At 41.0% G+C, this 22,979-nt stretch overlaps 1 long non-coding RNA gene and 1 pseudogene across 10 annotated transcripts in view, besides 5 other annotated features; both read right to left on the reverse strand.

The window, feature by feature from the left end:
• LINC-PINT (long intergenic non-protein coding RNA, p53 induced transcript) overlaps positions 1–22,979 on the reverse strand; it is a 232,364-nt gene that overhangs the window by 158,118 nt on the left and 51,267 nt on the right. For 8 of the 10 annotated variants that reach the window (NR_170176.1, NR_170175.1, NR_109854.1 and 5 more), the window contains exon 3: positions 16,746–16,876. The exons of the other annotated variants lie outside the window; for them this stretch is intronic. This is a non-coding gene — a long non-coding RNA (long intergenic non-protein coding RNA, p53 induced transcript). The remainder of the gene's footprint in view (positions 1–16,745; positions 16,877–22,979) is intronic. 10 annotated transcript variants of the gene reach the window in all.
• Positions 8,955–9,099: an enhancer, noted in NCBI's record as "145 bp 7:130729465 sequence used in MPRA reporter constructs". NCBI's record gives its function as "activates a minimal TATA-containing promoter with rs62471613 allelic activity by MPRAs in UACC903 melanoma cells {active_cell/tissue: UACC903}" and the evidence as "EXISTENCE:reporter gene assay evidence [ECO:0000049][PMID:36423637]".
• Position 9,027: a transcriptional cis regulatory region, noted in NCBI's record as "rs62471613 or 7:130729465 MPRA-significant variant associated with a GWAS melanoma risk locus at 7q32.3". NCBI's record gives its function as "allelic transcriptional activity by MPRAs in UACC903 melanoma cells {active_cell/tissue: UACC903}" and the evidence as "EXISTENCE:reporter gene assay evidence [ECO:0000049][PMID:36423637]".
• Positions 19,207–19,313, reverse strand: RNU6-1010P (RNA, U6 small nuclear 1010, pseudogene; annotated as a pseudogene).
• Positions 21,491–21,785: an enhancer, noted in NCBI's record as "tiled region #6658; HepG2 Activating DNase unmatched - State 5:Enh". NCBI's record gives its function as "activates a minimal TATA promoter and a strong SV40 promoter by Sharpr-MPRA in HepG2 cells {active_cell/tissue: HepG2}" and the evidence as "EXISTENCE:reporter gene assay evidence [ECO:0000049][PMID:27701403]".
• Positions 21,556–21,700: an enhancer, noted in NCBI's record as "145 bp 7:130742066 sequence used in MPRA reporter constructs". NCBI's record gives its function as "activates a minimal TATA-containing promoter with rs7803075 allelic activity by MPRAs in UACC903 melanoma cells {active_cell/tissue: UACC903}" and the evidence as "EXISTENCE:reporter gene assay evidence [ECO:0000049][PMID:36423637]".
• Position 21,628: a transcriptional cis regulatory region, noted in NCBI's record as "rs7803075 or 7:130742066 MPRA-significant variant associated with a GWAS melanoma risk locus at 7q32.3". NCBI's record gives its function as "allelic transcriptional activity by MPRAs in UACC903 melanoma cells {active_cell/tissue: UACC903}" and the evidence as "EXISTENCE:reporter gene assay evidence [ECO:0000049][PMID:36423637]".

The raw sequence follows: 22,979 nt of genomic DNA on the forward strand, positions 1-22,979 counted from the left end.
GGAAAATAAGAAAACATCTGAAAACAAAATAAATACTCAAATTCATTTATTCAAACATTTATTGAGTGCCTGCTATGTACGGGCACTGTGGATGGTTACTTGATGGCAAAACCAAAAAGTCAACGTCAGACCAAAGGATGAAGTATTCAATAACTGGCTATCTGTGTGGGGAAAAAGATATTTTTCTCACATTTTACACTCAAATACATCTCAAATACTTAATTATATACAACTCCTAGCACTACTAGAATAAAACAGGTGAATATTTACATATAATTTCATGATGGGAAATATGTGAGTTCGAAACAATCATTGTGAAATATGTTAATTTAAATGTTAACAGGGTGTAAACTACTGACTAGCTAAATAATGGATGGTCATGTAGTCATTAAATTGTTGATGAAGAAATATCTTTTTTTTTTTTTTTTTTTTTTTTTTTTTTTTTTTTTTTTTGAGACGGAGTCTCGCTCTGTCGCCCAGGCTGGAGTGCAGTGGCGGGATCTCGGCTCACTGCAAGTTCCGCCTCCCGGGTTCACGCCATTCTCCTGCCTCAGCCTCCCAAGTAGCTGGGACTACAGGCGCCCGCCACTACGCCCGGCTAATTTTTTTTTTTGTATTTTTAGTAGAGACGGGGTTTCACCGTTTTAGCCGGGATGGTCTCGATCTCCTGACCTCGTGATCCGCCCGCCTCGGCCTCCCAAAGTGCTGGGATTACAGGCGTGAGCCACCGCGCCCGGCCAAGAAATATCTTTATTAACATTTAAAAAGTTATAAAAATGATGTATACAGTAAAAAGACCTAAATATAGATATTAAAGAAGACATACACAGGAAATATCTATCCCATAAGAATATCATTACTCTTCAAACTAATCTATATAGTTAATGCATGACCTCAATCAAAGGAGGGTTTTTCATGGAGCAGAACTCTAAAATGTATATGGAAAAGCAAAACACAAAGAGTAGCGATGATTTTAAAGAAGAACAAGAAGAGGAGACAAACTACCAGACACTAAGACACAATAAAGAAATAAAGACCTATTTTAAAAGCATGATGGTGGCTCATGCCTGTAATCCCAGCATTTTGGGAGGCCAGTGCGGGCAGATCACTTGGGGTCAGGAGTTCGAGACCAGCCTGGTCAACATGGTGAAACCCCATCTCTACTAAAAATACAAAAAAATCAGCCAGACGTGGTGCACACTTCTGTAATCCAAGCTACTCAGGAGGCTGAGGCCTAAGAATCGCTTGAACCTGGGAGGTGGAGGTTGCAGTGAGATGAGATTGTGCCACTGCACTCCAGCCTATGTGACAGCGTGAGAATTCATCTCAGAAAAAAAAAAAAAAAAAAAAAAAAAAAAGCAAGAAAATGGGGCAAGAAAAAAGAAATACACCAGTGGAACTAAATAGCCGCCCCCCCCCCCGCCCCTACAAAAAGACATAGATCTACATAGACAGAAGTTTGTAGGACAGAATGGCACTGTGCATTGGTGGAGAAGGGTTGCAAAGGCAATTAAATGGTGCTAAGACAACAGGTCATCCATGAGAAAAACAAAATTAGGCAACTATACCTCATGCTATACACAAAACTATTTTAGAGGGACAGCAGGTGAAATTGTGAAAAGCAAAACTTTAAAACTTTTAATCGTAAACAGAGGATATTTTATATGACCTCAGCCTAAGGGAGAATTTCTAAAATAATATACCCAGAAACAATGCCCAAAGGAAGGATGACATTAAAAGAAAACTCTTATTCAACAAATGGCATTATTTAAAAAGTTAACAATCAAGCCCCGAACCAGAAGATATTTTTACTCATATAGACCACAAAGAATTGATATGCAGAATATATAAAGACTGCCTACAAATCACTAAAAGAAATCAACAGAAAAATCACATGATTAGAAAATGTCCTTCACAGAAGAAACCCAAATAGCTAAATAAACACATAAATTCTCAATCTTCCTAGTTATCAACCAAATTCTAATAAAACTACAATGAGATATTACTCACTAGTTATCAACCAAACTCTAATAAAACTATAATGAGATACTATTTCACACCCATCAAATTGGTAGAATTAGGACTTGACAATACCAAGTGTTTATGAGGACACGGGGTGAGATACAACCACTCCAGAGAGCAATTTCATTCTAGTTATTAAGTTTGAAATTGTGCATACCCTAAGACCTGGTAATTTTTTGGTTGTATACCCCAGATGAACTCTGGTGTGTGCACTAAGGAGAAATATAAATGAATTCATATAGCAACATTTTTTAATAGTGAAAAATTGTAAAAACTTAAAAGTCTCTCAATAGGAAAATATATTTTAAAATTGTGACATATTTTGAAGAACTGAATACCATAAAACAATTAAAATAAATGAACTAGAGCTACAGATATTAATATAAGTAAACTCCAAAAACATAATATACAGCAAAAAGGGCAGGCTCAGACAATGTACACAATATAGACTGTAGTGAATACTGAGGTGGCTGCTCAGGTCTCTCTTTAGGACTGAAGAGCTTATCCCCCAGTTTCTAGGGGTGTTGCAAGTTAACAGCCCTCAGTTGAAAGAGTCACCTCACCAAGGTCTCATCCCTTCTTCAGGGGTAGCCTTCTTCCCATAACTGGTCAATGTGAAGCTACCAAGGCCTGGCCCCTCACCCCAACGTGGTACCATCCTCAAGGGCTACCCCACCTTCAGCATCCCCTTTGGGATCAGCTGAGGCCTATCTTGTGATCGGACACCACAGCCCAATTTCTCCCTTGGCCCAATTGTGCTTCCTCCTATTCCACAAGTGTGAATCCTAAAATCTCCTTAACAAACTTCCTACATGTTAATCTTCTTTTCTTTTCTTTTCTTTTTGGATACGGAGTTTTGCTTTGTCACCCAGCCTGGAGTGCAGTGGCTTGATCTCGGCTCACTGCATCCTCCACCTCCCAGGTTCAAGTGATTCTTCTGCCTCAGCCTCCTGAGTAGCTGGGATTACAGGTGCACACCACCACACCTGGCTAATTTTTTGTATTTCAGTAGAGATGAGGTTCCACTATGTTGGCCATGCTGGTCTGAAACTCCTGACCTCAAGTGATCTGCCCGCCTCGGCCTCCCACAGTGCTGATTACAGGCATGAGGCACTGGTGGCCCCCAGCCTTAATCTTCTGAGTTCCATTTCCCTTGGAACCTGACTTGCAACAGATACAATGTATATCGTGTTTTAAAACATGTACCATAATACAATTTATGTTGTGAAACAGTATTATTTATGTTTGGGAATGCGTGTGTATTTTGTAAAACTGTAAAAGCATGCACCAGAATGACGAACACCAAATTCAAGAGAGAAGTTACTTCTGGAAGGTAGAAAGGAGGACAGGCTTGTGGAAGCACACACATAATGTTTTAATAACTACATTACATTTTCATTCTTATACTGGATACTGTATACATATATACTGGTTAGAGTATTCCTTATGCTTTCTTTGTATATCCGAAATTCCATGACTTTTTAAAGTAACCTAAAAGGAACAGCTTGCCACTGTATCAACCATTCTTCACTTTTTTTCTGCTGCAATAAACAAATGGATGACATTCATGTGGCCAACAGAGAATAATGGGTGTTCCCACATTTTGAAACAAGAACAAATTTCCTGTTGGAAATAAAAAAAAAAATAGGGCTACAGAGCTCTTTTTGCTTTTTTTTTTAAAGTGGCAATCTTGAGAAGTATTTACAAGTTTGTAATTCTATACCATGCACTAGCAATGATCACTTTAAACAGGCTACTACACAGATAATATAAAACTATGCATAATTTCTACAGTAATTCCACTTCCCTTTCTTCTGCTCAAGAAATTACTGGATTTCAAGTGACCGAAATTATAGTGATAACTTTGACTTTGTCAAGTTTCACACATCGTGGGGCCAAGATTTGAGCCAGGGCAGTCTGACTCTGAATTTGAACAGTGTTTAATTGCCAGGAACAAACCACAGGGAAAACTTCTAAACAGAAGAATACAGAGCAAAAGGAAATGCCTAGGATTGTTCTTTCTAAATTCTCAACATTTCCCAATACAAAAAGTATTATGGTATAATTACAGTTCTATAAAACAATGTGCTCTATGTATAATAAAAATACCAGCAAAATAAAGAGATTACCTGAAAATTGTAAATCGAAGGACACATTCACATAACTGAGATACAACTGGATTTTTCCCTAAATTTGTTAGATAATTCCACAATTGCCAATTTCGCTCTGTTTGTTGAGATCTGATCTTGGTTTCAAATTTTAAAATTTCACTGTATAATAAAATGAGTTCCATGTCCCTAGGGTTGGGCCACGGAAACAATGTTCTTCTCTGTTCCCACCCAATGTGAGCTATGTATGACAGCAACACATCACATAAAAGGATCTAGAAGCTCAAAATAAAAGGGGAAAAAAAAGTATGTGGGAGGGGAGCAGGATGAAAAGATTAAAATATTTTCTAACTCACTAATTTGAAGCAAACAGGTTTTGTACATATCCAAGGCACTGAGCACAAACAATCCAATTTCAACTGATGTTAATTATTCAGGACTACTACTAAGAAACTAAATTTTAAGTTCTATATTTGTTTAATATAAAAAATTTATAATACAGTTACAAAGGAGGAGAAAAACAAAACAAATATATCAACATGGTCAGACATTGACAATAAAAGATTGTTGACTGGGAATGAAATATGTAACACTCTGTCAACAAAGCTTTTCATACCTTAAAGGAATTTTATACGTAATCCCTTCCTCTTAACCCATTATGTGTTTCGAGTTCCTCTTTCTCCTGACACTGTCAAAAAATCTTTTTCTTTAACGTTTTCCCAGTAATCCAGTTATTCCTAAATTTTCAGCGACATTTTAGAAAGAAATCCAAACCTCAGCTCAGGTTAACATCTATACAGGCACTCCCTCTTGTGGTACAAAGGGAAACTGCCTGTTTACTCCAGCGCTCAAGCCCAAGAAGTCCTTTGAGTTTTAGCGCACTGAAGCAGGTTCTTTATTGTCTTCATTTTATAGACCAGGAAACAGCACAACTGAGGTCCAGCAACTTACTTCCTCGAGGCATAACAACCAGAGAACTGAGATTCAGCTCAGATGTCTGATATCCCTATCCCAAGGCCATGCACTTTGCACCATACCTCATGATCTACAACATCTATTCACCCTGTTCTTTTTGTTACCAAATTTCCAAGAATACCTGTAAAGCAGGTAGTGTAGTGACCACATATTACTGAAAGATGCATTTAATGCAATAAGAAGAATCTAATTTTAAACTTCTACTGTTTTGATGTAGTTTCAAAGCAGCTGCTTAGCTTGTATTTTCAGTTTAATATATTCGTGATCATTAACAAAACAGCGAAGTGAATAATGGGCATAAATTTTCCTAAGAAGAATCATTTTCCATACTTATTTTTCAATATTATCAAAAAGTATGTAATTTTGTGGGTTTTTTTGTTTTTTTTTTTTTTGAAACAGAATCTTGCTCTGTTGCCCAGGCTCGAGTGCAATGGTGCAATCTCGGCTCACTACAACCTCCGCCTCCCAGGTTCAGGCTATTCTCCTGCCTCAGCCTCCCGAGTAGCTGACATTACAGGCGCACACCACCATACCCACCTAATTTTTGTGTTTTTAGTAGAGACAGGGTTTCACCACATTGGCCAGGCTGGTCTAGAACTCCTGACCTCAGGTGATCCCCCCGCCTTGGCCTCTCAAAATGCTGGGATTACAGGCGTAAGCCACCGCGCCCAGCCGTAAACAGAATTTTATTTTGTGTGTTATGGACCCACTTGTAACCAAAAGCGCTTCTTTGAAGGACAAGACAAATAATTAGAATTTCCAAAATAATAAACTGTCATCCTTATTTACATGTTAATGTCAATGGATCTGAATAAAAGAATTTATGCGGCCGGGTGCGGTGGCTCATTCCTGTAATCCCAGCACTTAGGGAGGCCAAGGTGGGTGGATCACCTGAGGTCAGGAGTTCGACACCAGCCTGGTCAACATGTGAAACCCCGTCTCTACTAAAAATACCAAAATTAGCCGAGTGTGGTGGCGCATGCCTGTAATCCCAGCTACTCAGGAGGCTAAGGCAGGAGAATCGCTTGAACCCAGGAGGCGGAGGTTGCAGTGAGCCTTGATCGTGCCACTGCACTCCAGCCTGGACGACAAACTGAGACTCAGTCTCAAAAAAAAAAAAGAAAAAGAAAAAGAATTTATGCTTTGTGTTAATGGCATGTCATAAAATTTCAAAACCTGCTGATTCCCAAACACCTATTTTATTTATCTTCATCATGAATTTATATGATGAAAAGTACCTCCTTTACAGGTTTTAAAAGTTAAATGAGCTATACAAGTCAAGGACTGGTTAGTCTTTTATAAAGTTCACCTTTTTCATCTTCCTTTTACCAGAGAAATATAAAGATGTACTCCCATAAATGGTAAAAATACAGAGGGAAGAAGGCAAGACAGCAAGTAGAAAAAATAATTATCAAAAGCACTACTGAATTCTTCAATGTGACAGGTTTTCACCTGCAAGAATTTTTCCACTCTGGAAATGCCCCGAAGTGTCCCACAGTGATTCCACCTGTACAAGTGAGACTACAGCCCATGATGCTGCCCAACCACAGTTGGCCAAGACCTCCCTAGCTGCCCCTTTCTGCCTGATGTGCCACGTGTGTCCCCCCCCAGAGCTGGGCCATGGAGCAAAGAGGATCAGCTTTAAAGCCCAATCAAACGTAGGCTGCATTCCCCTGATCAAACCTCCAAAGTGAATTCCTGGTTTCCTAACTCAATAAGCAAAACAAACAGATGCAACCTCCAAGTATTTTGTATTCCTCACCTCAGTGAATTCCCCACCACTTGCTGAGAAGGCCACGGCAGAAGCTGAACTAATCCTTGACTCCTTTTTCTCCAATATTCTCCCTATCCTGCCAGTCAAAAGGGCATATAACTCCCAGTCACTGAATCTCTTGACTCAACCTCTCTTCTTTAATCCCAATGCCACAGCTTTAGATAAAGTCCTTCCAACATCTTGCAACCTGGATAACAGCCAAGTCCTATTCATCCCTCTCAACCTGGCTCTTCCATGCCCTCCTGCAAGGCCTTCCCCAGCCCTTCTCTGTGGATGCCCCTCCTCCGTTTTGAAGCAGACTGGATACCAGCCCCACCCCGCCGCCATGCTTCTTTTATCCTTGCAGGTGGGTGTGTCTTTATCTTCAGGGTGCCTGAAACATATGAGTGTTCCACAAATTTTTGTTGAATAAGGGATTTCCTTTTGAGGGAAGGAAAAAGTGAAAAAGCACAATTTGGTTAACTAAGCTGGTACTTTATTTGGAAAAATGGCTTAATGAATTTCAGTTTAAGATCCGGTTTTTTCCAAAATAAATTTTTTCTGTTTGCATAAACTTGGGCAGAATCATGGGCAGGATGTTCTAGGGTCATTGTATTTTCATTAAAATTAGGTAAATGTCTAACTGAAAAATGCCCACTTTTACCCAAGTAAGTAAAATTCAATCTTCTATTTTATATATGGGGGGATTCAGGGGCAAAGGTGTGAGGTCACTAACCCCAGAGATAACTGATTCCTGTCTGGTGCAGAAAATGGAAGTGCTCCAAGAGGGCATCTCTCTGCTTCACTTCCCCAACCACTGCAAGGATCTTATGCTCAGATTACCTGATGTCTCTACATATATGGGAGTTGGGGTCAGGTGGGTGGACACCCAGGCCTAGAAGCAAAGGTATTAAGCCACCATCAATTTCCTTCCTAAAGAACTAAAAGGTGAAGGATAGGGCCAGGCACGGTGGCTCACGCCTATAATCCCAGCACTTTGGGAGGCCGAGGAGGGCAGCTCATTTGAGGTCAGGTGTTCGAGACGAGCCTGGCTGACATGGTGAAACCCCATCTCTACTAAAAATCCAAAAAAAAAAAAAAAAAAAGCCAGGCATGGTGGTACATGCCTGTAGTCCCAGCTACTTGGGAGGCTGAGGCAGGAGAATTGCTTGAACCCGGGAGGCGGAGGCTGTAGTGGGCTGAGATCACGCCACTTCACTCCATCCAGCCTGGGCAACAGAGCGAGACTCTGTCTCAAAAAATAAAATAGGCCGGGCATGGTGGCTCACGCCTGTAATCCCAGCACTTTGGGAGGCCAAGGTGGGGAAATCACCTGAGGTCGGGAGTTTGAGACCAGCCCGACCAACATGGAGAAACCCTGTCTCTACTAAAAACACAAAGTTAGCCAGGCATGGTGGCGCATGCCTGTAATCCCAGCTACTCCACAGGCTGAGACAGGAGAATCGCTTGAACCCGGGAGGCGGAGGCTGCGGTGAGCTGAGATCGCGCCATTGCACTTTACCTGGGCAACAAGAGTGAAACTTGTCTCAAAAAAAAAAAAATTAAATTAAAAATTGAAGGATAACCCACCACCATAAATTTGAACTACTTTACACAAATTGAATATTAATCCAAAAAACATGTTTTCCAGTGGGGAGGGGGGTGTTAATAACTATTTAACATAAAACCAATCATTTGACAAATGATATGCAAGGGAAATACAGCTATTCCTGGTCACTAAATTCTGGGAAAAACAAGTAACTCTTTTTACGATTTAATTTAAATTATTTTACAATGTAACTAATTTACAAATAACTAACTTACAATTAGAATCCAAAAAGCATTTGGCATAGAACATGAATTCAGTGAACCTCACCAAAGTATTCCAAAGCAGTATGTTACAATGAAGTCAGTACTATAGTTCAATTCCTTGAATGGAAATTTTTTTTTTTTTTTTTTTGGAGTCTTGCTCTGTCACCCAGGCTAGAGTGCAGTGGCGTGATCTTGGCTCACTGCAAGCTCTGCCTCCCGGGTTCACGCCATTCTCTCCTGCCTCTACAGGCGCCCACCACCGTGCCCGCCACCACGCCCATCTAACGTTTTGTACTTTTAGTAGAGATGGGGTTTCACCGTGTTAGCCAAGATGGTCTCGATCTCCTGACCTCGTGCTCTGCCTGCCTTGGCCTCCCAAAGTGCTGGGATTACAGGAGTGAGCCACCATGCCTGACCTGAATGGTCATCTTAAAGAGAATTTGAAATTTTGAGTGGCCACCCACGTTTAGTGGCTTTCTTGAGGTATAATTTGCATGTCTTGAAAATTATCCATTTTAAGTACACAATTGCACACGTTTTCATACAATTTATACACAACTATCACCAGGAACATTTCCATCACCCAAACTGTTCCGCTGTGCCTGTTTAAAACCAATCTCCATGCTGCCACCCTACACCCAGGCAAAGTACTGATCTGATCTAAGGTTTTGCCTGTTCTAAAAGTTTCATATCATGGTATCATACAATACAGAGCCCTTTCACTTGGCATAATGTTTCTGAGGTTCAACCATATTGTAGTATGTACCCGTGGCATGAATCAGAATTTTATTCCTTTTCATGGCTGATATGGACATACCAAATTTTGTTTATCTATTCACCGGTTGATGGATTTGGATTGTTTCCAGTTTTTGTCTACTGTGAATAATGGTACTATGAACATCTGTTTGCTTTTTGAATGGGCATAGTTTTAGTTTTTATAACTTTACTGAGTTACTCTTGATATACAATAAATTGCACATATTTAAATATACAATGAGTTTTGACATATGTATACACCCATGAAATCATTAGACATAATCAAATAATGAATATATACATCACCCCCAAACGTTTCATTGTGCTCTTTCCTTTGGAATCCCTTTCTCCCTCCTCTCCCAAGCCATCCTCTGATCTGCAGGCACTGATCTACTGTCACTACAGATTAGCTTGCATTTTCTAGAATTTCACCTAAATGGAATCAGTATTCTGTTTTGTAGGAAAAGGTGTCTGGCTTCTTTCACACAGCATGTTATTATTTTGCAATGCATACATGTCACTGTATGTATCAATAGTCCATTCCTTTTCATTACTGAGTATTATTCCATTCTATAGATATACCACAATTTGCTTATCCATTCATCTGCTGACAGACACATAAATTAGTTCCAGTTTTCAATCACAGCTAAAGCTGCTGTTTTAACCACGTCAGACCAATCTGGTTCATCTCTTCTGTAACAAAGTTGTGAGTTGTTTTTCAGTTGCCATGGGCCCCCAGGTTGAACATCATGTAAGCTGAGCATGTCCAGATGAACCAAGCATGCAACTATAGGGGCAACCTAAATGTTCCAACCAAGGAGAGGGGACTGAACTAAGAAGTGGAAGCCGGGTGTGGTGGCTCATGCCTGTAATCCCAGAACTCTGGGAGGCCGAGGCGGGCAGATCACCTGAGGTCAGGAGTTTGAGACCAGCCTGGCCAACATGGCAAAACCCCATCTTTACTAAAAATACAAATACTGGGCATGGTGGTAGGCGCCTGTAATCCCAGCTACTTGGGAGGCTGAGGCAGGAGAATCACTTGAACCCAGGAGGCGGAGGTTGCAGTGAGCTGAGATTGCACCACTGCACTCCAGCCTGGGTGACAAGAGTGAGACTCTATCTCAAAAAAAAAAAAAAAAAAAAAAAAGTGGATATGGCATAACAGGATCCAGAATCCAACCAGATTGAGCTCTGGCATAGCCCCATGTCAGGAGCCAGTCAGAAAACACCCCCCAGCATCACTTCATCACAAGATCCAATTGGATCACACCCTATTACCCTATGCTTATAAAACTCTACCCAACTACCAGCTCCAGGAGGCAGATTTGGGTGCTTCTTCCTGGCTCCTTGCCAGTCCAGTCATGATAAAGCTTATTTTTCCTCAAAAGCCAGCGCCATGGTATTGGCCTCCATGTGCCTTGGGAAGCAGGCCCATTGATTGCTTGCTGGGTGACACTATGAACATCATATACCAACTTTGCCTGGACACATGCTGTCATTTTTCCTGACAGCATACCTTGGAAATAGAATTGCTGAGTTACACATTAAGTGTATATTGAACTTTTTAAGAAACTGCCAAACTGTTTTCCATCATGGCCATACTGTTTTATATTCCCACCAGCAATTTGAGAGGATTCTGGTTTCCGCATATCCTTGTCAACACTTGGATTGTCAGTCTTTTTAATTTTAGCCATTCTGGTGGTTGTTGTTATGGCTTTAATTTGCATTTCCCTAATGAGTGAGTGGCTGCTTAGTTTAGTGGTCAGCCAGTGGATTTGGGCAGAGATTAAGCCCAGCCACCTTGCACCAGTAAGGCTTCCAACATCTGCAGATGGAACAGTCTGCATGGAAGGTAGCATTCAAAGTTGTACCCAGATCTCAAGTCTCTTCTGGCTTTCACTTTTTGCTGGGCTCTACTGAGTATCCCCTGGGCATGCAAAGTTTAGCTGTCTGCTACAGATGGTTGGGGAGCCATGTTAGCCCTCTATAGGTCTCTCATTTCTAGGATCTCCTTGTTAAATTTCTGGATGGTGGCCTCAAACTAGCAAACTTCAAACTCAAAGTAGCAAAGCTGTGAGTTTTTCATTATTAACTGATTATGCCACTTTTAGCTAGCAAAGCTGTGATTTCTTAACCCCAACCTTTACCCACACTTCAAATTGAGTCTATCATGTCTGATAAAACAGCAGTTCGACAACTGAGATAGTGGGCAAGGAGAGAAGAAACCCCATGCGAGAAGGCCACAACCCCTATCCTTCATACCCAAAGATTCAGTGTATCAATAACGCTTCTCAATCTATTATCTGCCTTTTGTTTCCAGTGCCCAGAAACGACCATTTTGGACAATCTCATCCAGTTTTACGCTTGTTTTATTCAGAAAGAGAATCACCTATCCTCTTCACATCACCATTAAGGGAAATGATCTTGGCTACTCATTTTTAATTCCTCAGTTTTCCACAGCATAAAGTATGACGATAATACAAAAATGAAGTATGACTATAATTCAACTCCAAGTATCAAATATAGAAATGCTCTCAAAGTTTGATAGAAAATTTATCATCAGAACGTGAATATTTTATATTAAGAGAGTGGCTCTTCCACATAGTACCAGCAAGCTAACATTATATTAAAGTACCAAAATAGCCAGTTCAGTAACTTTGAGACTCCTAGAAGATAAACTGGTTGATTGCTTGGACCTCAGCTGTGACTTGGCCACAAAACTCAAAACACAATCGATTCTGTGGTGTCATTAACAAAGTCTGACACAGGCAAAAAGCAAATTCTTGCAGTTCTATTAGTATGAGTATGTATTACAAATATTCTCAGCCCAGATTTTGTTACATTATACTTTTTCCAGTTATTTCACATGCTACCACAAAATCCTCAAGTATAATTTAGTTTTAACATTACTTCATATTTATATAATACAATGCTTTATAGTTGACTAAGCCCCTGCACCTACTAGTTCATCTGATCCTCATAAAAACCTCCTGTGGCAGGTAAAGCAAATATTACCCTCATTTTATACCTGCTGGAACTGAACACAGAGGGATTAAGTGTTCCACATAGCTAGGAAATCAGATCTAAAATCCACTTATTCTGGCAATATTTCATTTTGTGTGACCTTGGGTATTGTGTCTCTGCCTCAATTTCTTCAAATGTTTCAATAACTTCCTCAAAAGTAAGGAAAAGAAATTACACCCCAAACATCAGCTTTTTCAACATTTTCAGTTGACGAGAACTAGTCTTAACATTTGTTACCTTAACATTTTTAATTCCCGGAATGTGAATGCAGACACTGAGCAAGAAGCAGCCAAATTTCATAACAATTGCAAAAGCCACCTTTAACATACAATGCCAATCTCTACATTCTCTCTCTTTCTCTGTCTCTCCCCCGATCCCTCCCACCCCTCTGCCTCTTCCACAACACAATTCTATGAAATCATCTTAGGAGGGAAGCACTACACCTCCACCCCTAACACACACAGGTGGTGGTCTTAAATGTCATAAATCTAGTAGGCCATTTCAGAAAAATAACTTGAAATCTCTCTAACACATGCATTGGGAGAAACATGTAATTTCTCTCATCTTAAAAAACCAAAACCAAAACTTTCCTTGACTCTTCTGGACTTCACAAGTTACTCAAAAGAGAGTCTGTCTGTACTCACTCTTCAATCCAGTTCCTCCAATTCTCCCTGGAATCTGCTCCACTCTGGCTTTTGTCTCTACCATTTCACTGAAACCACTCGCCAAGATCACTAACATCCTCCTCACTGCTAAATCTTCTGATCAATTTTCAGCTGGCATCTTACCTGACCCATCAGCAGCATCTGACAAGGTGGGTTACTACTGCTTCCCTTGGTGTCTAGAGTATCACGATTTACACCTTCCTGTCTGTTCCTCAATCTGCCCTGCTGACTCCATGGGACCAGGAGAGGCCCCAGACCACTCTTCTCACTCCCTTGGTGGCCTCAATCCTTCTTATGACTTTGAACAACAGTTCAATGCTAATGACTTCAAATTTGCCTTTTTAATCCTGACCTCCCACTGAAGTCCAGACTCTGCCTACATGACCTTTCTGCTTAGATATCTAAAGAGGAATCTCAAATGTAATGTGTTTAAAACTGAGCTCCTAGTGCTGCCTCCAATCGGTCCCTCCACAATCCACCCCCCTATCTCAGCAAAGGCACCTCCACTCTCAGTTGTTCAGGCTGCAAACTGTGGAGTCTTCCCTGACACTCCTTTCTGTCTCTCATCTCATATCTAATTTCACAACATATAACTAGAATTCCGTCATTTCTCCTCACATCCCTTGCTTATGGTCTCAGGCACCATCTTGCAGCTGGGTCACTGCAGTAGCCTCACTGGGTCTCTCCGCTTCTACCCTTGCAAACACCCCCACCCCTAGCCCAGAGTATTCAAATCACATTACCTTCATTAGAAAGATCATGTTGCTTCTCTCCTTAAAATCCACCAATTCTTTTTCATCTCACTGGAAGCCAAAACCCATACAATAACCACTGCTCACACTGTTATGGGAAAGGGGTCCTGATCCAGACCCCAAGGGAGGACTCTTGTATCTCATGCAAGAAAGAATCTGAGGCAAGTCGATAAAGTGAAAGTAAGTTCATTCAGAAAGTAAAAGAATAAAAGAATGGCTACTCTATAGTTGCCCATTTTTATGGTTATTTCTTGATTATATGCTAAACAAGGGGTGGATTATTTATGCCTCCCCTTTTTAGACTATATGGGGTACTAACCTGACGTTGTCATGGCATTTGTAAACTGTCATGGTGCTGGTGGGAGTGTAGCAATGAGGACAATCGGAGGTCACTCTCAATGCCATCTTAGTTTTGGTGGGTTTTGGCCGGCTTCTTTACTACAAACTTTTTTATTAGCAAGGTCTTTAGGACTCGTATCTTGTGCTGACCTCCTATCTCATCCGGTGACTTAGAATGCCTAACTCTTTGGGAATGCAGCCTAGTAGGTCTCAGCCTTATTTTACCCAGCCCCTACTCAAGATGGGATTGCTCTGGTTTTTATGCCTCTGACAACATGACATGACCATCCATATCCTCTCATCTCCTCTTTTTTTTTTTTTTTTGGAGACAGAGTCTTGCCCTGTCGCCAGGCTAGAGCACAGTGGCACGATCTCAGCTCACAGCAACCTCTGCCTCCCAGGTTCAAGCGATTCCCCTGCCTCAGCCTCCTGAGTAGCTGGGACTACAGGCACCCACCACCACACCTGGCTAATTTTTTGTATTTTAGAGTAGATACGGGATTTCACCATGTTCGCCAGGATGGTCTTGATCTCCTGACCTCGTGCTCCACCTGGCCTTGGCCTCCCAAAGTGCTGGGATTACAGCCCCTTCACTCACTCCACTCCATTCACTAGCCTCCTCCTATTTTCAAACAAGCCAGGCATGCTTCTGCCTCAAGGTCTTTGCATTTGCTATCCTCTCTGCCTACAACACTCTTCCCCCAAACACCCACAGGCTCTTTCCATCAACTTCTTCACAACTTCTCACTGAGGCCTTCCCTAAACATTCTCTTTACCAGTCAACTCTTCAGCCCTTACTCTTGCCTGCCTTACATTTCTCCAAAGCACTCATTGCTTTCTAATATACTACATATTGTACTTTTTTATTTGTTCTTAGTCTGTATCTTCCTGCTAGAATGTTACCTCCATGAAGGCAGAGAGTTTAGTTCGTTTTGTTCACTACTGTATCACCAATACCTACAATACTGTCTGACACATGGTAGGCAGTCAATAAATATTTGATGAATCAAAGAATCAAATTCTTAAAACAATACAAATGTATATGAATTGATCCATAGGAGGACCAGAAAGTTCAAGAACTACAGAATGCTAGGTACTGGATAACTAAGAATGTTGATTGTATGTGATGATATAGATCAGTTCCATCCAAAAGAAGTATAATGCAAGCTACAACTAATTTTAAATTTTCCAGCAGTCACATAAAAAAGTAAACAAAAACAAGTGATATTAATTTTAATAACATGTTTTAATTCAATATATCCAAAATATTATCACTTCAAAATGTGAGTCATATAAAACCTAGTATTTTAGTCTTTTTAAATTTTTTTTTGAATTATGGTATTTTCTGCAGAGCACATTTCCGTTAGTACTACTCATATTTCAAACATCTAATAGCTACATGTGGCATGTGGCCAGTTGCTACCATATTGGACAACACAGATTTGGACCAAAATTAAATAATCCCACTGCAGTGGCGAATATCTTGTAGATTTATTCACTGTTTTTAGTTTAAGATTCCCAAACAAGGCCCTGGTACAACTTCATGGTTTACTAGTTTTGTCAAAACAGTTTCAAAGGATATAGTACGAGGAATAATAGCTCTTGTTCTGAGAAACCATTTGTTTTCAATGTAACTGACTCAACACTTAAAACACTTTAAACTTCATTCAGGTGTTTTGATTAGAAAGAATGAAAGCCATTCTTCCCTAGTCTGTTTGAGAAAGTTAAATCCAGACAGATTCTGTGATCTTATCTATATTAGTATTGGAAAAATCATTATTTTCAAATAGAAAGAACTATTAAAATTTTATTTCCACTAAACCAGTATTTATTTCAAATTAACCAAAATGCATCCTGCATTAAAAGATAATTTTTACATACAGTTGCATTTTAAAAATGTATTAACAGTTGTTTTACCAATATTTTTTACATTTTATAATGTAAAAATGAAATAAAGCACTAAGGAGAATGCTTTTAAATTTTTTTTTTTTTTTTTTTTTTTTTTGAGACAGAGCCTCTCTGTCGCCCAGACTGGAGTGCAGTGGCACAGTCTCAGCTCACTGCAACCTCTGCCTCCCAGGTTCAAGTGATTCTCCTGCCTCAGCCTCCAGAGTAGCTGGGATTACAGGCACCTGCCACCATGCCTGGCTAATTTTTGCATTTTTAGCCGAGATGGGATTTCACCATGTTGGCTAGGCTGGTCTCAAACTCCTGACCTCAGGTGATCTGCCCGCCTCAGCCTCCCAAAGTGCTGGGATTACAGGCGTGAGCCACTGCACCTGGCCTAAATTTTTAATATATGTATTTAAGTCCTATGTTTCTTGAATGCTAAAGTGTTATGTATGGAGAAAGTGTTCATTAACTCTTTTCTATCATCGGGGATTAATTTATTCCAGAATCCCATTATTTACAAATATTCACAAAATATCATAATAATTGCATTATTCAACAACAAAATTTAAAGAACCCAATTAAAGTTTATACTATTTTAAAACTTTAAACTTTTTTTAAAAGCAGTAAAACAGAAGAATCTACTTACTCAGCTGTTACAGGGTGTTATCAATTATCTCTGGTAAATTGGCAGGTCTGAGCTCAGATCAGCAAGGCAGAGAAACTCCAGATGGCAAATTATCCCAACTCTTCTAACTCGTAAAAGCATTAATAAAATGCCTGTGTAAGAAAGAAACCTGAAGTTACAACCAAGACAGAACTTTCTCAAGTGGACTGTCTTGATAGGGAATAAACCTCTGTTTCCTCTTTTCTTTCCTTGAGGGCTTAGAACAAGTTAATTCATGGCTTTGGAGTAGCAGGTGGCCTGATACAGCAATACTTGGTATTACAACTGCCTTTCTGTTTTAAGAAATCTCTGGGGAGAAGCCTAAATTGGTGCAATAAAATATCCACCCAGTACTAGAACTTGCTCCCTTTTTTTTTTCTTTTTGAGATGGAGTCTCGCACTGTCACCCAGGCTGAAGTGCAATAGGATAGTCTCAGCTCACTGCAACCTTCGCCTCCCACGTTGAAGTGATTCTCCTGCCTCAGTCTCCCAAGTAGCTGGGATTACAGGCTCCCACCACTGCGCCAGGCTAATTTTTGTATTTTTAGTAGAGACGGGGTTTCGCCATGTTGGCCAGGCTGGTCTTAAACTCCTGACCTCAGGTGATCCACCCACCTCGGCTTCCCAAAGTGCTGGGATTACAGGCGTGAGCCACCGCACCTGGCCCTTATTTATTATTTTTGAGACAGGGTCTGGCTCTGTCACCCAGGCTGGAGTGCAGTGACGAGATCTCAGCTCACTGCAGCCTTTGCCTCCCAGGCTCAAGTGATCCTTCCACCTTAGCCCATTAAGTAGCTGGGACTACAGGTGCACGCCACCACACCTGGCTAATTTTTTTGTATTTTTGGTAGAGACAGGGTTTCACCATGTTGCCCAGGCTGGTCTCAGATTCCTGAGCTCAAGCAATCTGCCAGCCTCAGCCTCCCAAAGTGCTGGGATTATAGGCATGAGCCACCGCACCTGGCCGTACTGAGTTTTCTTAACAGCTTCTGTCTCCTAATATTGATTCATTGGTATTTTCTTCTAGAAAAAAAAATTTAATAAGGTCTCATTATTTTTAATTTTCACAAGGTTGCCACAATCTTTTTGAAACTTTCATTTTATGTTAAATAATCTGAAATCACTGACACCTTCAGCTGATTCTTCTGAATTAACATTATTTTTAACAAGAAAATGCTGTCTTTATGGAAGTAAGAAGCCTGGTTAAGTGCAAAGCAAATTCTGCTAAAGAGAGGATATTCTCACTTCTGTTTCTATACCAAAATTATACATATTTTAGACTAAGTATTTTCATAGGTATTATCTTTTTGCCTAAATTGGCGGGATTTTTTCCCCACTTTTGCCCCTCTGATCCATTCACCAGGACATACTTCATCATGGGTCATATTTTTTTCTCCAATGCAAATCTCACCATGTCACTTCCCAACTAAAACAGTTTTCAGCGTTTCCCATTGCTCTTAGATACGATATCCCATAAGCTTTAATATGGAGGCTTCCAAAGCCCTGCATGACTTGCTCCCTTCCCACCTCTCAGGCCACCCTGGCCTTCTCTCAAATCCCCAAAAGCACCAGCTTCTCTCTCACCTGCCCCAGGGCCTTTGCAAGGTCTGTTCCCTTTGCTGGGATGCTCTTCTTTTCAGCCATGGTTATCTTTCACATCTGAAAGACCTTCGTATGCCCCCCATCTAAGTTACACCATGCTACTCTCCCTCTCTTCCTCTCAAAAGTACTCTGTACTCTTCCTGCAAAGTGCTCATCCAAATCTGTATTTGTGTGTTTTTAGAAAGCCTATCTCCACCGGACTGTGACAACTTCATGAGGGTGTAGAGCTCATGCCTGTTTGATTAGTCCCTTAACCACCACTGTTCCCAGCACCTGAGCTTCGTCCTTGGCACCTTGTGAACCTACAATAAATATTTGTTAAATGAATGAATAAAAGACTGAGAAGCGGGGGCAGGTGGCAAGGACAATCTAGTTATTTTGGTCCATTGTTATCTATGGTCCTAAATCCAACTACATCATCAGCTTTTCCCTCTATACAGGATGATTCCAATCACCATAGAAGGTCTGTGGATTTAGGAAGGGAGGGAGGAGGGAGGGAGGAGGGAGGAAGGGAGGGAGGGAGGGAGGGAGGGAGGGAGGGAGGCCTTCTTGCCTACTGGCCTTTCCTCTTGACCCCAGGGTCCCACGAATTAACTCCCCATTTCTCTAATCCAGTTTTATAAGAATACTCAAAAGAGCTGACTCCATCCACTGTCTCCAGTTCTTTCTTCCCATTCCCATCAGGCTTTGTCCCCACTGCTCCCCTAAAACTGCTATTGTTAAAGCCAGCAATGTCTTCAACTGTGAAATACCCAAAAGCCAGGTACAGGAAGAGGTGCTTTAAAGGAATTATCTCATCCATTTACTTATTTCTTTTTAAAATTTTTTAAAATTGAATTTTAAAAAGATGGAATGCTTCACAAATATGCATGTCATCCTTGTCCAGGGGCCACACTACTCCTCTCTGTATCGTTTCAATTTTAGCATATGTGCTGCCAAAGTGAGCATTATTTGTTTATTTTTAGACAGGGTCTCACTCTGCCATCCAGGCTGGAGTGTAGTGGGGCAATCTAACTCACTGCAGCCTCAAACTCCTGGGCTCAAGTGATCCTCCCACCTCAGCCTCCTGAGTTGCTGAGACCACAAGCACATGGCACAACATCCAGCTTTTTTTTTTTTTCTTTGCTTTTTTTTTTTTTTTTTTTTTTAGAGATGGCATCTTTCTTGCCTAGGCTGGTCATCCACTTAAACAGTTCATAGGCTGGCCATGGTGGCTCACACCTGTAATGCCAACACTTTGAGAGGTCAAGGCAGGAGGATTGCTTGAGTCCAACAGTTTGATACTAACCTGGGTAACATAGCAAGACTCCTTCTCTACAAAGAATAAAAAATTAGCTGGGTGTGGTGGTGCATGCCTATGGTCCTAGCTACTTAGGAGGCTGAGACGGAAGGATTGCTTGAGTCCAAGAGGTCAAGGTTGCAGTGAGCTGTGATCATGCCAATGCCCTCCAGCTTGGGTGACAGAGCTACACCCTGTCTCAAAAAAAATTTTTTTTAAATAAATAAACAGTTCATCACCACCACCTGATGAGGTAAGTACCATTGTTATCCCCAGAGACAGGTTAACTGAATTCATTCAAGACTACTTGGGCAAAAAAGCAGCAGAAACCATTTTCACTCAATCTAATGTTCACTGTTCAGTCTTCCTCTTACTGGACCTGCCAGCGGCACAGACAGAGCTGATCACTCTCCTCTTTAAGCACTTTCTTTGCTGGGTTGCCAGGACACCACAACCTACTGACTCTCCTCCTCCTTCACTGGCCATTCCTTAAACTTCTTCTCATTATCCACCTTTTAATGCCAGAGCGACCCAGGACTCTCAATTCTCAAACTTTCCTGTCTATACGCTCTCCTCCTGGTCATCTCAATGGGTCTCAGCACCTTAAATAAGAGCCTGAACCTCTTCCCTGAACTCAAGGCTCATATTTTCAGCCACCTCCTTGACATCTCCGCTTGGATGTCTAATAGACATTCCCCTTTTAACATCATGCCATGCCAAACTCCTGATGTTCCCCTAGTGCTCCACGCCTGAAGCTCCTACAGGCTTGCTCATCTCAGGAAACAGTAACTCCATCCTCCAAGATGGAGTTTTCTCTTTCCCTCATATCCTCTGCCCAATTCATGAGCAAACCCTGTTGGCTCAATCTTAAAACTACATCTGAATTCTAACTACTTCTCCCTGCTCCCACCACTGCCATCTGAGCCTACCTCATCTCCATCTGGATGACTACAATAGCCTGGGAGCTGATGCTTCCCTTGCCTTACTTGCCTGCTGGGAACAGAAAATGCATTAATATGACCACACTGAAGTCTTTCCGTTGAGATTGTCATAGTAAAGATGAATTGTTTGTTATATTTGTCTCTCAAATATTTCAGGAAAAAGTTGTTTCTTCCATGTTACGTTAGTTCTGAATATTTAAATTGCTTTCTATTATGAAAACCTGTATTAACAAATGCAAGGTCCTTGAAAAAGTATTCTATTGTTGCCCTTGACTCTGAAATGAATTAGAGTTCTGTGTGGGCAAAAATATTAGCCCAGCTCTTAAAGGTCCATGGAAAATGTTGTTTGCTTTCTTCAAAGCTTAAAAGCTTCCTGTTAATCATCAAAATAAGATATCTCCACTGCAGGCATTTGTTACTTGAAGACGAACAGAACAGAATCAGCACCTATATAAAAACCACACTGACAATATCTAATATTTTAGAAAAAATGAAATCTGATGGTCCTGTTAACAATCATGGTATTTTCTAAACCCCTGCCTCCTTTTTTGTTGTTATTTTTTGTTTAGTCAGGGTCTTGCTCTGTCACCCGACTGGAGTGCAGTGGTACCCGCATAGCTCACTGCAGCCTTCAACTCCGGCCTCTGCCTCCTGACCCTACTGCCTCAGCCTCCTGAGTAGCTAGGACTACAGGCACACACCATCACATCCATTTTTTTTTAATTTTTTTTTTTAGAAAAGGGGTCTTGCTTTGTTGCCCAGGCTGGTCTTGAACTTCCAGCCTCAAACCATCCTCCAGCCTCAGCCTCCCAAAGTAATGGGACCAAAGGTATGAGCCACTGCACCAGGCCTCAACTCCTTTCTTTACTACAGTCCCCAAAAACCAGAGGCCTGGATTCAGTGCCTCTAAAACTCCTTTCTGCTAGTTTGGCTCCAGCGCTCAGCACATGCACTTCCCAAGTCGTTGTTTTCTTTGATCTCCTTAGACTCTCTGCCTCCTAGAGAATCTAATCCACATGAACTGCGCTCCTGGATCTTTTACATAACTGTGGTTTTTCACAAGGTTCTTTAAACAAAGGTCCACGTGATAGATTTCTGCTCAAGCTTAGTTCCAGGAAACGTTTGGTTTCTGCAGATGTTTACATGCTTCCGGCTGTCAGCACATGAAAACAATATAATTCTGTTTCTTTTCCTCACTTTAGCAACTGGAGAGCATAAAATCAAATATATTGTTCAAATCTGTTCAACACTGGTATATGGAAATACTTAATCCTTAAACTTTTTTTTAGGTGAGGTTGGTTTTATTTTTTATTATTTTGCCTTTTGGCCTAAATGTGGTAAGTGGTTTCAGAAACATGAAAAGCTATAAAATGTAAAATATACAAGACAAGAACAAAATAGAAAAAAGGCTGGGTACACTGGCTCAGTGCTTGTAATCCCAGCACTTTGAGAGGCTGAGGCAGGAGGACTGCTTGAGCCCAGGAGTTCAAGACCAGCCTGGGCAACAGAGTGAGACCCTGTTTCTTTAAAAAAAAAAAAAAAAAAAAAAAAAATTAGCTAGGTGTGGTAATGTGTGCCTATAGTCCTAGCTAACCGGGAGGCTGAGGCTGGAGGTACTGTGAGCTGTGATTACATCACTACCCTCCCGCAGTTACAGTTAGAGTGAGACTCCATCTCTAACTATGAAAGAAAAAAATGGAAAAAAAGAAGAAAGCACAGTGGTGATTTTCCAATGAGAAGGCATGAATACCCAGAATCAGACTGTCATCCCAAAAAAAAAAAACAAAACTCTCTTCATAAGCAAAGTTAAAAAGAGTCCTCCACACTCTTTTTTTTTTTTTTTTTTTTTTGAGACAGAGTTCCACTCTTGTTGCCTAGGCTGGAGTGCGATGGCACGATCTCAGCTCACCACAGCCTCTGCCTCCCAGGTTCAAGCAATTCTCCTGCCTCAGCCTACCGAGTAGCTGGGATTACAGGCATGTGCCACCATGCCTGGTTAATTTTTTGTATTTTTAGGGGAGACAGGATTTCTCCATGTTGGTCAGGCTGGTCTCAAACCCCCGACCTCAGGTGATCCGCCCACCTGGGCCTCCCAAAGTGCTGGGATTACAGACATGAGCCACCGCACCCAGCCTCCACCCTCTTTATTTAAACCCTGTTCACTAGTTTGAGTAAAATAATCAGATATGTTTTCGGTTCAATTTCCCTAGCAACACTTAAAAGTTTGAAATTTTTTACAATCAACTTCAGTAAGGCTTCTTTAAACATTATTTTGAAAATTAAAAACATTTTAGAAAAGCAAGCTAAACTGGTTGTATGACAGGTATACATTCTAAGTCATTTTGAGAGGTGACACCGTGCTGGCAGCCCTCGCTTGCTCTTGGCGCCCACTCT

The sequence above is a fragment of the Homo sapiens genome, chromosome 7 (assembly GCF_000001405.40).
Source record: "Homo sapiens chromosome 7, GRCh38.p14 Primary Assembly".
Lineage (NCBI taxonomy): Eukaryota > Metazoa > Chordata > Mammalia > Primates > Hominidae > Homo > Homo sapiens.